At 39.2% G+C, this 15,492-nt stretch overlaps 1 long non-coding RNA gene and 1 pseudogene across 1 annotated transcript; one reads left to right on the top strand and one right to left on the bottom strand.

Annotated features, from left to right (window-relative positions):
• Positions 1-8,684: 8,684 nt before the first annotated feature.
• Positions 8,685-14,560, top strand: LOC107986193 (uncharacterized). Its single transcript, XR_001741431.2, has 2 exons — positions 8,685-11,627; positions 12,253-14,560. It is a non-coding gene; the product is annotated as an uncharacterized LOC107986193 (long non-coding RNA).
• On the bottom strand, positions 11,635-13,842 carry GK6P (glycerol kinase 6 pseudogene; annotated as a pseudogene).
• Positions 14,561-15,492: the final 932 nt, after the last annotated feature.

Below are 15,492 nucleotides of genomic sequence, written 5' to 3' on the forward strand. Positions count from 1 at the left end.
CACTGTCTTCCACAATGGTTGAACTAATTTACATTCCCACCAACAGTGTAAAAGCATTCCTATTTCTCCACATCCTCTCCAGCACCTGTTGTTTTCTGACTTTTTAATGATCGCCATTCTAACTGGCCTGAGATGGTATCTCATTGTGGTTTTGATTTGCATTTCTCTGATGACCAGTGATGATGAGCATTTTTTATATGTCTGTTGGCTGCATAAATGTCTTCTTTTGAGAAGTGTCTGTTTATATCCTTTGTCCACTTTTTGATGGGGTTGTTTGTTTTTTTCTTGTAAATTTGTTTAAGTTCTTTGTAGATTCTGGATATTAGCCCTTTGTCATATGGGTAGGTTGCAAAAATTTTCTCCCATTCTGTAAGTTGCCTCTTCACTCTGATGATAGTTTCTTTTGCTGTGCAGAAGCGCTTTAGTTTAATTAGATCCCATTTGTCAATTTTGGCTTTTGTTGCCATTGCTTTTGGTGTTTTAGTCATGATGTATTTGCCCATGCCTATGTCCTGAATGGTATTGCCTAGGTTTTCTTCTGGGGTTTTTATGGTTTTAGGTCTAACATTTAAGTCTTTAACTCATCTTGAGTTAATTTTTTATACAGTGTAAGGAAGGGATCCAGTTTCAGCTTTCTGCATATGGCTAGCCAGTTTTCCCAGCACCATTTATTAAATAGGGAATCCTTTCCCCATTGCTTGTTTTTGTCAAGTTTGTCAAAGATCAGATGGTTGTAGAGGTGTGGTGTTATTTCTGAGGCCTCTGTTCTGTTCCATTGGTCTATATCTCTGTTTTGGTACCAGTACCATGCTGTTTTGGTTACTGTAGCCTTGTAGTATAGTTTGAAGTCAGGTAGCGTGATGCCTCCAGCTTTGTTCTTTTTGCTTAGGATTGTCTTGGCTATGTGGGCTCTTTTTTGTTTCCATATGAAATTTAAAGTAGTTTTTTCCAATTCTGTGAAGAAAGTCAGTGGTAGCCTGATGGGGATAGCATTGAATCTATAAATTACCTTGGGCAGTATGGCCATTTTCAAGATATTGATTCTTCCTATCCATGAGCATGGAATGTTCTTCCATTTGTTTGTGTCCTCTTTTATTTTTTTGAGCAGTGGTTTGTAGTTCTCCTTGAAGAGGTCCTTCATATCCCTTGTAAGTTGTATTCCTAGGTATTTTATTCTCTTTGTAGTAATTGTGAATGGGAGATCACTCACGATTTGGCTCTCTGTCTATTATTGGTGTAAAGGAATGCTTGTGATTTTTGCACATTGATTTTGTATCCTGAGACTTTGCTGAAGTTGCTTATCAGCTTAAGGATATTTTGGGCTGAGACAATGGGGTTTCTAAATATACAATCACGTTATCTGCAAACAGAGATAATTTGACTTCCTCTCTTCCTAACTGAATACGCCTTATTTCTATCTCTTGCCTGATTGCCCTAGCCAGAACTTCCAACACTATGTTGAATAGGAGTGGTGAGAGAGGGCATCCTTGTCCTGTGCTGGTTTTCAAAGGGAACGCTTCCAGTTTTTGCCCATTCAGTATGATATTGGCTGTGGGTTTGTCATAAATAGCTCTTAGTATTTTGAGATACGTTCCATCAATACCTAGTTTATTGAGAGTTTTTAGCATGAAGGGCTGTTGAATTTTGTCAAAGGCCTTTTCTGCATCTATTGGGATAATCACGTGGTTTTTGTCATTGGTTCTGTTTATGTGATGGATTACGTTTATATATTTGCGTGCATTGAACCAGCCTTGCATCCCAGGGATGAAGCTGACTTGATCATGGTGGATAAGCTTTTTGATGTGCTGCTGGATTTGGTTTGTCAGTATTTTATTGAGGATTTTTGCATCGATGTTCATCAGGGATATTGGTCTAAAATTCTCTTTTTTTGTTGTGTCTCTGCCAGGCCTTTGGTATCAGTATGATGCTGGCCTCATAAATGAGTTAGGGAGGATTCCCTCTTTTTCTATTGTTTGGAATAGTTTCAGAAGGAATGGTACCAGCTCCTCTTTGTACCTCTGTTAGAATTTGGCTGTGAATCCGTCTGGTCCTGGACTTTTTTTTGTTAGTAGGCTATTAATGATTGCCTCAATTTCAGAACCTGTTACTGGTCTATTCAGAGATTCAGCTTCTTCCTGGTTTAGTCTTGGGAGGGTGTATGTGTCCAGGAATTTATCCATTTCTTCTAGATTTTCTAGTTTATTTGCATAGAGGAATTTATAGTATTCTCTCATGGTAGTTTGTATTGCTGTGGGATTGGTGGTGATCTCCCCTTTATCATTTTTTTATTGCATCTATTTGATTCTCTTTTCTTCTTTATTAGTCTTGCTAGCAGTCTATCAATTTTGTTGATCTTTTCAAAAAACCACCTCCTGGATTCATTGATTTTTTTGAAGGGTTATTTGTGTCTCTATCTCCTTCAGTTCTGCTCTGATCTTAGTTATTTCTTGTCTTCTGCTAGCTTTTGAATGTGTTTGCTCTTGCTTCTCTGGTTCTTTTAATTGTGATGTTAGGGTGTCGATTTTAGATCTTTTCTGCTTTCTCTTGTGGGCATTTAGCGCTGTAAATTTCCCGCTACACACTGCTTTAAATGTGTCCCAGAGATTCTGGTACATTCTGTCTTCATTCTCAATGACTTCAAAGAACATCTTTATTTCTGCCTTCATTTCGTTTTGTACCCAGTAGTCATTCAGGAGCAGGTTGTTCAGTTCGATGTAGCTGTGCTGTTTTGAGTGAATTTCTTAATCCTGAGTTCTAATTTGATTGCACTGTGGTCTGAGAGACAGTTTGTTGTGATTTCTGTTCTTCTACATTTGCTGAGGAGTGCTTTACTTCCACTTATGTGGTCAATTTTAGAATAAGTGCAATGTGGTGCTGAGAAGAATGTATATTCTGTTGATTTGGGGTGGAGAGTTCTGTAGATGTCTATTAGGTCTGCTTGGTCCAGAGCTGAGTTCAAGTCCTGGATATCCTTGTTATTAACCTTCTGTCTCGTTGATCTGTCTAATATTGACAGTGGGGTGTTAAAGTCTCCCATTATTATTGTGTGGGAGTCTAATTCTCTTTGTAGGTCTCTAAGGACTTGCTTTATGAATCTGGGTGCTCCTGTATTGGGTGCATATATATTTAGGATAGTTAGCTATTCTTGTTGAATTGATCCCTTTACCATTATGTAATGGCCTTCTTTGTCTCTTTTGATCTTTCTTGGTTTAAAGTCTGTTTTGTCAGAGACTAGGATTGCAACCCCTGCTTTTTTTTTTGTTTTGTTTTCCATTTGCTTGGTAGATCTTCCTCCATCCCTTTATTTTGAGCCTGTGTGTGTCTTTGCATGTGAGATGGGTCTCGTGAATACAGCACACCGATGGGTCTTGACTCTTTATCCAATTTACCAGCCTGTGTCTTATAACTGGGGCATTTAGCCCATTTACATTTAAGGTTAATATTGTTATGTTTGAATTTGATCCTGTCATTATGATGTTAGCTGGTTATTTTGCCTGTTAATTGATGCAGTTTCTTCATAGCATCGACGGTCTTTACAATTTGGCATGTTTTTGCAGTGGCTGCTACCAGTTATTCCTTTCCGTGTTTAGTGCTTCCTTCAGGAGCTCTTGTAAGGCAGGCCTGGTGGTGACAGAGTCTCTCGGCATTTGCTTGTCTGTAAAGGATTTTATTTCTCCTTTACTTATGAAGCTTAGTTTGGCTGGATATGAAATTCTGGGTTGAAAATCCTTTTCTTTTTAAGAATGTCGAATATTGGCCCCACTCTCTTCTGGCTTGTAGGGTTTCTGCTGAGAGATCTGCTGTTAGTCTGATGGGCTTCCCTTTGTGGGTAACCTGACCTTGCTCTCTGGCTGCCCTTAACATTTTTTCCTTCATTTCAACCTTGGTGAATCTGACAGTTATGTGTCTTGGGGTTGCTCTTCTTGAGGTTTATCTTTGTCTTTGTGGTGTTCTCTATATTTCCTGAATTTGAATGTTGGCCTGCCTTGCTAGGTTAGGGAAGTTCTCCTGGATAATATCCTGAAGAGTGTTTTCTAACTTGGTTCCATTCTCCCCATAACTCTCCGGTACACCAATCAAACGTATATTTGCTCTTTTCACATAATCCCATATTTCTTGGAGGCTTTGTTCATTTCTTTTCACTCTTTTTTCTCTAAATTGTCTTCTCACTTTATTTCATTAATTTGATCTTCAGTCAGTGATATCCTTTCTTCCACTTGATCAAATCGGCTATTGACGCTTGTGCATGCATCACAAAGTTCTCTTGCTGTGGTTTTCAGCTCCATTAGGTCATTTAAGGTCTTCTCTACACTGTTTATTCTAGTTAGCCATTCGTCTAACCTTTTTTCAAGGTTTTTAGCTTTCTTGTGATGTGTTAGAACATGCTCCTTTAGCTCAGAGAAGTTTGTCATTACCAGCTTTCTGAAGCCTACTTCTGTCAATTTGGCAAACTCATTCTCCATCCAGTTTTGTTCCCTTGCTGCCGAGGAGCTGCGATCCTTTGAAGGAGAAGAGATGCTCTGGTTTTTGGAATTTTCAGCTTTTCTGCTCTGGTTTCTCCCCATCTTTGTGGTTTTAACTACCTTTTGTCTTTGATGTTGGGGAGCTGCAGATGGGGTTTTCGTGTGGATGTCCTTTTTGTTGATGCTGATGCCATTCCTTTCTGTTTGTTAGTTTTCCTTCTAACAGGCCCCTCAGCTGCAGGTCTGTTGGGGTTTGCTGGAGGTCCACTTCAGACCCGGTTTGCCTGGGTATCACCAGCAGAGGCTTCAGAACAGCAGATATTGCTGCCTGATCCTTCCTCTGGAAGCTTCATCCCAGAGGGGCACTACCCTGTTTGAGGTGTCTGTCATCCCCTACTGGGAGGTGTCTCCCAGTCATGCTACACTGGGGTCAGGGACCCACTTGAGGAGGCAGTCTGTCCCTTCTCGGAGCTCGAACGCCATGCTGAGAGAACCACTGCTCTCTTCAGAGATGTCAAACAGGGACGTTTAAGTCTGCAGAAGCTGTCTGCTGTCTTTTGTTCTCCCCAGTTTATGTTTTTGTATGCTTTGTTGGAGATCAGTCGTTTCTAAATATTTACTTTATTTCTGGGTTCTCTCTTCTGTTCCATAGGTCTACATATCTACTTATATGCCAGTGCCATGCTGTTCTGGTTATGATACCCTTATATTAGTATAATTTGAAGTCAGGTAATGTCATGCCTCTAGATTTGTTCTTTTTGCTTAGGATTACATTGGCTATTTGGGCTTTTTAAAAAAAATTCCATATGCATTTTAGGATTTTTTTTTTTCTAATTCTGTGAAGAGTGATGATATTTTGATAGGAATTGCATTGACTCTGTAGATTGCTTTGGACAGTATGGTAATTTTCATGGTATTGATTCTTCTAATCTATGAACATGGGATGTATTTCCATTTGTTTGTGTCATCTATGATTTCTTTAAGCAGTGTTTTGTAGTTCTCCTTGTAGAGTTCTTCACCTCCTTGGTTAAATATATTCCTAAGTATTTTATTTTATTTTATTTTGTAGCTATTATAAAAGGGATTGAGTTCTTAATTTGATTCTCAGCTTGGTCATTGTTGGTGTGTAGCAGTGCTACTGATTTATGTACATGGATTTTGTAACCTGAGGCTTTACTGAATTCATTTATCAAAGCTAGGCGCCTTTTGGAGGAGTCTTTAGGGCTTTCTAGGTATAAGATCATATCATCAGCAAACAGAGATAGTTTGACTTTCTCTTTTCCAATTTGGATGCCCTTTATTTCTTTCTTTTGCCTGATTACTCTGTCTAGGACTTACAGAAGTTGCTAATTTGTTTTTAAACTATATTTCTGGGAGATAAATCTGGTAGAAGTTACAATCCACCAACTGCCTGCAAGACTCTGCTTTGCATCTATGAGACTCAATAGGAATAGTTCCTATGGAAGCTTCTGTGTTCACTGCTCCTTTAATAGGCTCTAGAACTGTAACTTCCCCAGCTTTCAAATGCAAGAGCCGTTTGTCTAAACTGCTTCAGTGTGCTTACTCTGATGAGTAAGGAAGCTTTTGGTCCATAGATCTGGGTAAGGGAGAATGCATGTGTGTATATATATGTGTGTCTCTGCCTGCACAGAGCATTGGAGAGTAGTAGTCCTAGAATCCCTATTTCATTTACCAAATAAATAATGGTTCAAAGTGGTTAGTTGAAAAAACAAAAACCAGAGTGCTTCACTAAATCACAGTAGGTCCAATAAATTTAGACCTTATTGATTTCTATTGGGTGGCCTGATGGCCTAACTGCCCTTTAGAAAATTATTTCAGTGAAAAAATGTGATCTGAGTTCTAGGAAGCCGATTTACAGATGAGCTTTTAGAACACAACCCTTCTGTAAGTTGGGGAATGCCTGTAGTGTGTAACACTATTCATGCAGCACTTTTGAATAGAATGAAGCATTTTATGAAAAACCAAAGACAAATATGAATTTATTGGTGTATTCCAATGCAAGCAATTCTGTTCAACTAAGTAGAAAATATTACTTCTAAATTCAGATTCCATTAACTGCTAGACTTAATGCACCTGTTATAAGTGACTTCTATTAGGAAAACCAAGAAAGATTTCATATTTTTAGATATTTTTTGCTGCATGAAACAATCACTGTTTAACCTTTTATCTTTCCTGGGCTGCCAGTTTTCTCTATAGTGCTTGATAAATGTTACTGACTGCTAATGGGGAGAGGAGGGTCAGTGCCTGGGGAGAGAATGAATAAAGTAGGATTAATGCACAGGATATCCAAACATAGTTCATATGATGTACTAGAACTCTTAGTTTTGCTTATATCAGAAGCAACTCATTTACTGTGTTTTTAGGAGATCATTAGATTTTTAAAAATCTTTCTCTTATTTAAAATCTTAAATTTATTCTAGTATACTACAAAATATAAAAAATTTTCCACCAGAATTAGAACACTTCTGTTTCCTAGTTTGTAGTGTCCTCCTTTGTAATTATGCCAAGAATTTTTCATGAAAAATTATTCACTTTCAGTAAAATTATAAAGAAGCATTGATTCTTCATTTTTAATGCACTATATTTTGCATCTGAATCTAGCTTTAAAGGATGTACTGCTTTTATACCACGCTTCTGAATCTTGTATTTGCTTGAGTTTCTTAGGTTTTAGGTAACATTTTAAAACATCTTTCATTATGAAAAATTGCAAGCATGTACAAGAATAGAATAGTACTCATCATCCAACTTCAACAGTTGTCAACTCAGGGACAATTTTGTTTTAATTATAACCTTCATTACTCCCCTTCCCTTTTTTTTATATGCAAACATTTTACTGAAGTCTAATGCACATATAGAAAAGTACACAAATCATGTCTACAGCTTGAGGAATTTTATACATCCTCTTGTATTATCTTGAAGGAATTGTCATGCTTTACCTATGTATTTCATCCTTATATTTTAAACAAATGCCATTACAAAGACCATGCTTGTATAATGAAGCTATTTCTATATCTTTGGTGTATTGATAACTAGTTGCAACAAACTTTCCAAAATAATCCAGAATAATACTATAAAACAATTTGATATGGTTTGGCTATGTCGCCACCCAGATCTCATCTTGAATTCCCATGTGTGGTGGGAAGGACCCAGTGGGAAGTAGTTGAATCATGGGGGCAGGTCTTTCCTTTGCTGTTCTTGTGATAGTGAGTAAGTCTCACAAGATCTAATGGTTTTAAAAATGGGAGTTTCCCTGCACAAGCTCTCTCTCTTTGCCTGCTGCCATCCATGTAAGACATGACTTGCTCCTCCTTGCCTTCCACCATCATTGTAAGGCCTCCCCAGCCACGTGGAACTATAAGTCCATTAAACCTCTTTCTTTTGTAAATTGCCTAGTCTTGCATATGTCTTTATCAGCAGCATGAAAACAGACTAATACACAATTGTTCCTCATAGTGAAACTATCTGATTGTTGTTGACATTTTAAGCAAATATGAGGTGGGGAGATAAGGAGTCCATGCAGTAAGATGTCTATAGCTCCTTTTCTACCATAAACAAATAATTGTTGTTTAGGTGATTTGTCTTTAAAGCACTCTATTTGTCCAGAAAATTTACCCAAACCTTCAAATTACTTTCAAGTCAAATCACATAGCTTGTGAAGAACTCCAAGAGGGTGACGGGACACAGTGGCAGTAAAGTTAATATTTTTCCTTTTCTTTTTCTTTTCCCTATCATAGGCAGTAGGACTTGTGACAGGCTTTTCTAGGTAGGAATGAAAAGAAGGAAGGGAAGAAATAAATAGCAATAAATGACTCAATACATACATACATATATACAAGTAAAGCAGAAGGGAGGAGAAAGAAGCTGAGGGAAAAAAGGATGGATAAGGAGAGAAAGCCTGCAGGACCTCGGGGTATTGTCTGGTCCATGGTGTGACTGCATATAAGAAGAGCACTCTCGGGCCGGGTGCAGTGGCTCACGCCTATAATCCCAGCACTTTGGGAGGCCAAGGCAGGCGGATCATGAGGTCAGGAGATTGAGACCATCCTGGCTAACACGGTGAAACTCCGTCTCTACTAAAAATACAAAAAATTAGCCAGGCGTGGTTGCAGTAGCCTGTAGTCCCAGCTATTCGGGAGGCTGAGGCAGGAGAATGGTCTGAACCCAGGAGGCGGAGCTTGCAGTGAGCAGAGATCGCGCCACTGCACTCCAGCCTGGGTGACAGAGCGAGACTCCGTCTCAAAAAAAAAGAGCACTCTCTATCCTTTGAAAACTCACTGGAGATTCCGGACATAAGAACTGCTTCATTTCTTTCTCTTGCCCATTGGAAACAAGCTTTCTAGAATACATTATAATTAAATTAAATTGTACAGGTATAATGAAAAAATTAACAGTGTTCCATGGAGATCTCTTCCATGAACTCATGCTTATTTTTAATAACATCAGTATCTTTAGGGAAAGTAAAAATGTGAGCAACCAAATGGGTAGGTTAGAGAGTGAGAGCAGGGGAGGATGTGGAATCCACACTGCTCACCCTGAGACGCTCTCGTGGCTTCAGCAGCGTGGCTCTGGCAGTGACAGCCCGTCGCACTGAACACCCTGCTTCTCCAAGGCGTGGAGTGACAGCTCAGTGTGACCAGACCACCCAGGTTAAATGGCCTGCATGCTGAGGCATGGTGTTCTGGACTATGGTCAGCCTTTGTTACACTCCTGAAACATTTATTTTATTTTATTTTATTTTAGCTTAAAAAGCTGTATGAAATTATTTTTTGTATCATGTCTAAAAATGAAATTTTTCTCAGTTAACCCCAACTGTACTAACTTATTCAGAGAGTGCTGGTTTGTGGACTCTTCTCATGTTTCTTGGGTGGTATCTATATTTTAACCATTTCTCAAATCATTAGCACCTTTATTTTTAGCATTTTTGGCAGGCCAAAAATATAGAGGAGATAAAAATTGAACTCATTGGTTTAGATGCATCTTAATAGTTCTAGCAAAAGACTCTTTGGAAATTGGATTTTAATTATAACTTGAAATATGAATTTTATTCAGTATTTCTTGTTGATAGCCAAGCACATTTAAGGGGAAAAAAATTGTTTCAGATTTTTAGTCATTCCTATACATCACCACTTCCCATACTGAAAATTTGAGAAACTACTTAGTACTAGTTCTAACTGATCTTTGGCGAAGTTTGTGGTATCATTTTCTTTTTCTTTTTTAAAATAGAGACGGGCTCTTGCTGTGTTGCCCAGGCTGTGCTCGAACTCCTGGCCTTAAGCAGTCCTCCTGCCTTGGCTTCCCAGAGTCGGGATTACAGGCATGAGCTACCACACCCAGCCTGACTATCATTTTCAAGCTAGAGCTGTAGCTGAAATTCTGGGCTTGGTAAGCACTCAGCATTCCTCAGTAACAGGACTACCTGTGGAGAATTCCTTCAGAGCTGGGCATGGTGGCCCCCACCTGCAATCCCAGCACTTTGGGAGGCTGAGATGGGCAGATTGCTTGAGGCCCGGAGTTCGAGACCAGCCTGGCCAACATGGTGAAACCTGGTCTCTACTAAAAATACAAAAAAAAAAAAAAGAGCCAGGCATGGTGGCATGTGCCTGTAGTCCCAGCTATTTGGGAGGCTGAGGCAGGAGAATAACTTTAACTCAGGAGGCGGAGGTTGCAATGAGCTGAGATCGCACCACTGCACTCTAGCCTGGGCGACAGAGAGACTCCATCTCAACAATAACAACAACAAAAAAGAAGTCCTCCAGTTACCGATGTGCTTTCATTTTATTTTCCATTCTTTGGCTCTTAACTCTGTTATTAGTTTATATATCCCAGGCCCCGGTGGTAGTAACTACTTTACCCAGGCCTGTTCAGGCATCCCTCACTGTCCAGCTTCTGTCCTTTCCACTAGGCCTATAAAATGATCAAACTTTTTTATATGCACAAGTATTTTCATGTGTGTCCCCTCTGTCTTTGTCGTAAACGAAACTTTGTGTTTCTCCCAAACCTGTATGTCGTGAGCAGACTTCTCGAAGGGATCACTCACCACAGCTCACTGGGAACCTAGGTAGAAGGGTACCACTTCCAGACCATTGCTCTCGCTGCCATCAGCCTCACTTTTTTTTTTCACTGTTTACTACAAAACAAAGTAATTTCAAGATATTTTTTAAAATTGACGTTAAGAAGCTAGATTAGGTAACTTCTTATAATATGTGACATTAAATATTTTGAGAAATTCTTGGTTTCATTGGAAGGCATTTGTAATGATAAACCTTTTTTCAGTTATAATAAGATACTAAGCAGAGATAATTTTGTCATCCCAGATAGCAATTTCTTATTAACAATTGATAATATTTGAACTGAAAGAGATTCTTGGCTTTATTTCTATATTTTTTTCTATTTAGGTATTTAACTTTTTTGACATCCTCTTATCCCCTCAATAGGATCCGAAATATGTCTAAAATTAATTCAAAAGAAAACTATTTGAATTATTGCTTGTGTTTGAAAACAGTACTTACTGTAGTATTCCACAGTTTCTTCTTTTTTTTAGGCTAAGACAATTAAATAAAAATGTAATGGATAAGAAATATAGTTGAAGTCACAATAAAGTATATTTTCTTTTATGGACATAAAACATAAATTTTAAATGTTGGCTATTTAAGAAAAAAATTCTCCTGGTAAATATTATGCATAACCATTGCTCAAAAATGTATACAGCTGTTTTCCAACATATTTATATACATAGTGGTTCACTTAAGACCAGCCCTGTTAGAACCTTCTGAATATAATGTGCTCTTAATTTATAAATGGGCTACCCTCAGTGTATAAAATATATAGGCATATATGTTATACATACAAAGTAAAAAATATAAAAAGGAAAGATGGAAGAAAAAAGAAAGTATCCTTTCCTATAAGATCCAGACAGAAAGTCATTATAATTAGTGGGACCATGGAAAATATTGGAAGGATTTCAGTTTTGGCAAATACTTTTCAGAAAAATATCCAAGCTATGAGAACACTAAATGTCTATCTTAATAATTTAGTAGATGTTTCTATTCAAACATTCAGTGAAGGTGTTTCCATCTTCTACTATGTAGAAAAGAAGACTTTTGGGGTGTCTGTTAAAAGCGAAGAGCTGCTCATTTTTAACAGGTTAGTAATAACCTTTTAATCAAGTATATGTCATGCAGAGACTCAAGTCCTGTTCCAGTAGTGTTTGAGTATGTTTGATGGAAGATTCCAATGGTGAGCATCTGAATTCTTCGTACATCTTAGAGGGAATGGAGCAGGATGTTATGGCAAAGGAGGGGGTCAGCCCCAAAGGTAGCTGGCCCAACCTTAACTGTGGATGTTAAAAAAAAAAAAAAACACACACACACACACACACACACACACCAAATATTTCTATAGCATTCTTTTTGCTGCATTTTCTTTATTTTAAGCCACAGGTCTACTTGGAGGGTCACGCAGCAAGTGGCTTATAAATAAAATGAAAGTCTATGAATAGTGTCATCGCATTAAGAGACAATTGCTGGGTTGTTCTTTCATTATGTAAAAAGCTCGCATCTTGGGAATCCATGAGTTGGTAGGTTTTATGGAATACCTGAGATGTACCTTGCTCTGATTAACATTGCCATGCTACTCACTATAAAAAAGCCCAAGGGCAGACTACAGAAGACACTAGGGTCACCACTTTCTGGAGATTGAGTTGTAACCCAACCCATTGACTTCATCACAGCTTTCTTCCATGTAGAATAACGAATTTCACTTTCCTCAGCATTAATCTGAGGTTCAAACCGCTCCATTGTGACGGCGGAGAAATCCTCAGGTTCAAGACTCCATACGACGACTCCTTCTGCAGCCCCTGCCGCCATGGCAGCACCCAATGCAGTGGTTTCGGGCATCAAGGGCTTCACTACTGGAATATACAGAATGTCTGCTTGTAGCTGCATAAGAATTTTGTTGCTGGTCCTTCCTCCATCAACCTGCAAATGACTGAGTGGAATTCCACAGTCTCAATTCATGGCATCCAAAATCTCTCGAATATGGAAACAAACAGCTTCTAATGCAGCAAAAGCAATATGGCATTTATTGGTAAACTGAGTGAGTCCACAGATTATCCCTCTTGCGCTGGGCTCCCAATAAGGTGCATATAACCCCGAAAATGCTGGGACGAAGTAGCTGCCATAAGAAGTACCTACTTCTTTAGCAAGTTTTTCAATTTCTTCTGAGGTCTTTATAATTCCAAGATTGTCTCTTAGCCAGCGAATAACAGCACCAGCTATAGCTACAGAACCTTCCAAAGCATAATATACCGGTTTGTCTCTGCCAAGTTTGTAAGCCATTGTGGTGAGAAGGCCATGATCAGAAAATACACACTTATGGCATGTATTACATAGTAAGAAATATCCTGTTCCATACGTATTTTTGGCTTGTCCAATCTGGAAACACATTTGTCCCACCAGTGCAGCAGACTGGTCCCCTGAACACCCAGATATTGGCACACCTTCCAAGGCCCCAGCTTTCATTAGGCCATAGATCTCAGAAGAACTCCGAACATGTGGAAGAATTTCCGTTGGAATTCCAAAAAATTCACAGAGTTGTTTATCCCATTCCAAAGAATGAATGTTGAAAAGCATAGTCCTACTTGCATTTGTTACATCTGTACAGTGGACACCTCCATTGACGCCTCCTGTCAAACTCCAAATAAGCCATGAATCAATAGTCCCAAAAAGAGCTCGTTTTTCTTCAACGGCCTTTTGAACTTTTCTCACATTGTCAAGGAGCCAGCGAAGTTTCACTGCACTGAAGTAAGTGTTAAGTGGAAGGCCTGTCTTGGACTTGACAAAGTTATTATTTCCTGGAATTCTCTTACTAAGACTCTCAACGGTAGACTGTGTTCTTAGTTCAAGCCACACCACAGCATTGTAGAGAGGCTCTCCAGTTATCTTGTCCCAGACTACAGTGGTTTCCCTCTGGTTGCTGACACCAATAGCTTTTATGTTGGAAATACCAATATTGAGCTGTCCAAGTTTCTCACATGTTTTCGCTATACACTCATAGACAGAATGTAGAATTTCCTTAGGGTCCTGTTCCACCCATCCTTCTCTTGGGAACTCTTGTTTTATTTCCACTTGATGATGACTAAGTAGTTCAGCTGTTCTTGAATTGAAAACCAAAAAGCGCGTGGAACTGGTGCCCTGGTCCACTGCCCCCACCAATGGCCCCAAAACTGCCTTTTTTGAGGCTGCCATGAAACCAGCTTCAGGTCCGCCCGCATTTGCGGCCGGTTTCCTGGGTGACGGCGGCGGGAGGGGGAGGGGCGAGTGATGAGTCCAAAGAGCGAGGCCGCGCGAGTCCGCTGAACCAGCCTCACTTCTTTACTGGCTGGCTAGCAGGCTACTGCATTCTCTCTGCAGCTCATTTTCTCCCTTGGCCTCCAGGCATACATCTGTCTTTAACACTGAGATTATCTTTCCCTGTGTATTTTGTTTCTCCTGCCATAAACGCCTTCAGAATCTATACTGTTGGCTCACGTGAGACTCCTTCATAGCTCCTTGTGACTATCATCTTCCCCCCACAAACCCATTCATCACCTTAGACTGCAGTTCCAGGGTCTGTTGGACCTTTCTGGTATTTAGAACTCTGGGGTCCCCACCTTGGTTCGGACTAGATGTGTGCCTTCTCATTCTCTTGTATTTCTTCATAAATCTGTGCTCTTTGGCCCTTGTTCTTCCAGCCAACTCTTGGCCATTCAGCCTAGACCCAGTAGTCAGTCATTTCAAAGCTATTCTCTTTATGTGCCTGGCATTGCCCACACTGTTGTGTGTGATAGATAACAGGCTCAATACAATTTAACCCTTGCTTATAATCTAACTTTATAGTCCAGTAACAATAAACTCACACCCTAATTAAGTATATTTGGAATATGCGTTATTCTCTGTAAAACCAGTTTTTATAACAGTTTCTTCTATAGAAAATTTACTTCAATCATTTGCCCACCTTTCTATAATTTAGGCTAGGAATCACTGCTTGGAATAAACATCGGTTAGAATAAACTCGATTTGAATGCCGCCCTCTTGAAAGAAATTAGTGTTGAGTGAGTGGTTTTAATAATAGTATTACTAGCCTTAGCCATGGGATATGCATGCCAAAGAATAGATGCTGATTATTCAACAGTCTATTGTAATGTTAATTTACTGATACAGAAGATTCTTCCTTTGGAGAACTGTGAAAGCACTTGATACACAGCACTTTTTAGCTGAAGTTATGCCAACTCAAATGATGCTTCTTAAAAGAGTTAATTATTTGTATATTCATGCATTCATTATGGTCTTCTTTATTCCTTAGTAAACTACATGCAGTCTCTGCTGTGCCTTGTTGACAGCAATTTTTTCTAGCTTACATGAGTTAACTGTTTTCAGGTTTCATTAAAACTGCCTTATGTTAATAGAACTGCTGGAGACATACACGGTTTTTTTCTCCTAAAGATTAATAGTGTTGAAAGTCAAAGAATCACAGAGTATTAATGTTATAGGAAATCTTAGCAGTTATCTAGTCTAACACTTTCATTTTATTAATTAGGAAAATGAAGACCAGAGATATTTCTGTTTTCCCAAAAACACTTTGTCTGTTAGGGATGAGCTGCTTGTGGATCTAAGATGTGGGGAAAAGCAAGAGAGATCAGATTTTTACTGTGTCTGTGTAGAAAGAAGTAGACATAGGAGACTCCATTTTGTTCTGTACTAAGAAAAATTCTTCTGCCTTGAGATTCTGTTAATCTATGACCTTACCCCCAACCCCGTGCTCTCTGAAACGTGCTGTGTCAAACTCAGGGTTAAATGGATTAAGGGCGGTGCAAGATGTGCTTTGTTAAACAGATGCTTGACGGCAGCATGCTCCTCAAGAGTCATCACCACTCCCTAATCTCAAGTACCCAGGGACACAAACACTGCGGAAGGCCGCAGGGACCTCTGCCTAGGAAAGCCAGGTATTGTCCAAGGTTTCTCCCCATGTG

This window comes from Homo sapiens, chromosome 4 (assembly GCF_000001405.40).
Source record: "Homo sapiens chromosome 4, GRCh38.p14 Primary Assembly".
NCBI lineage: Eukaryota > Metazoa > Chordata > Mammalia > Primates > Hominidae > Homo > Homo sapiens.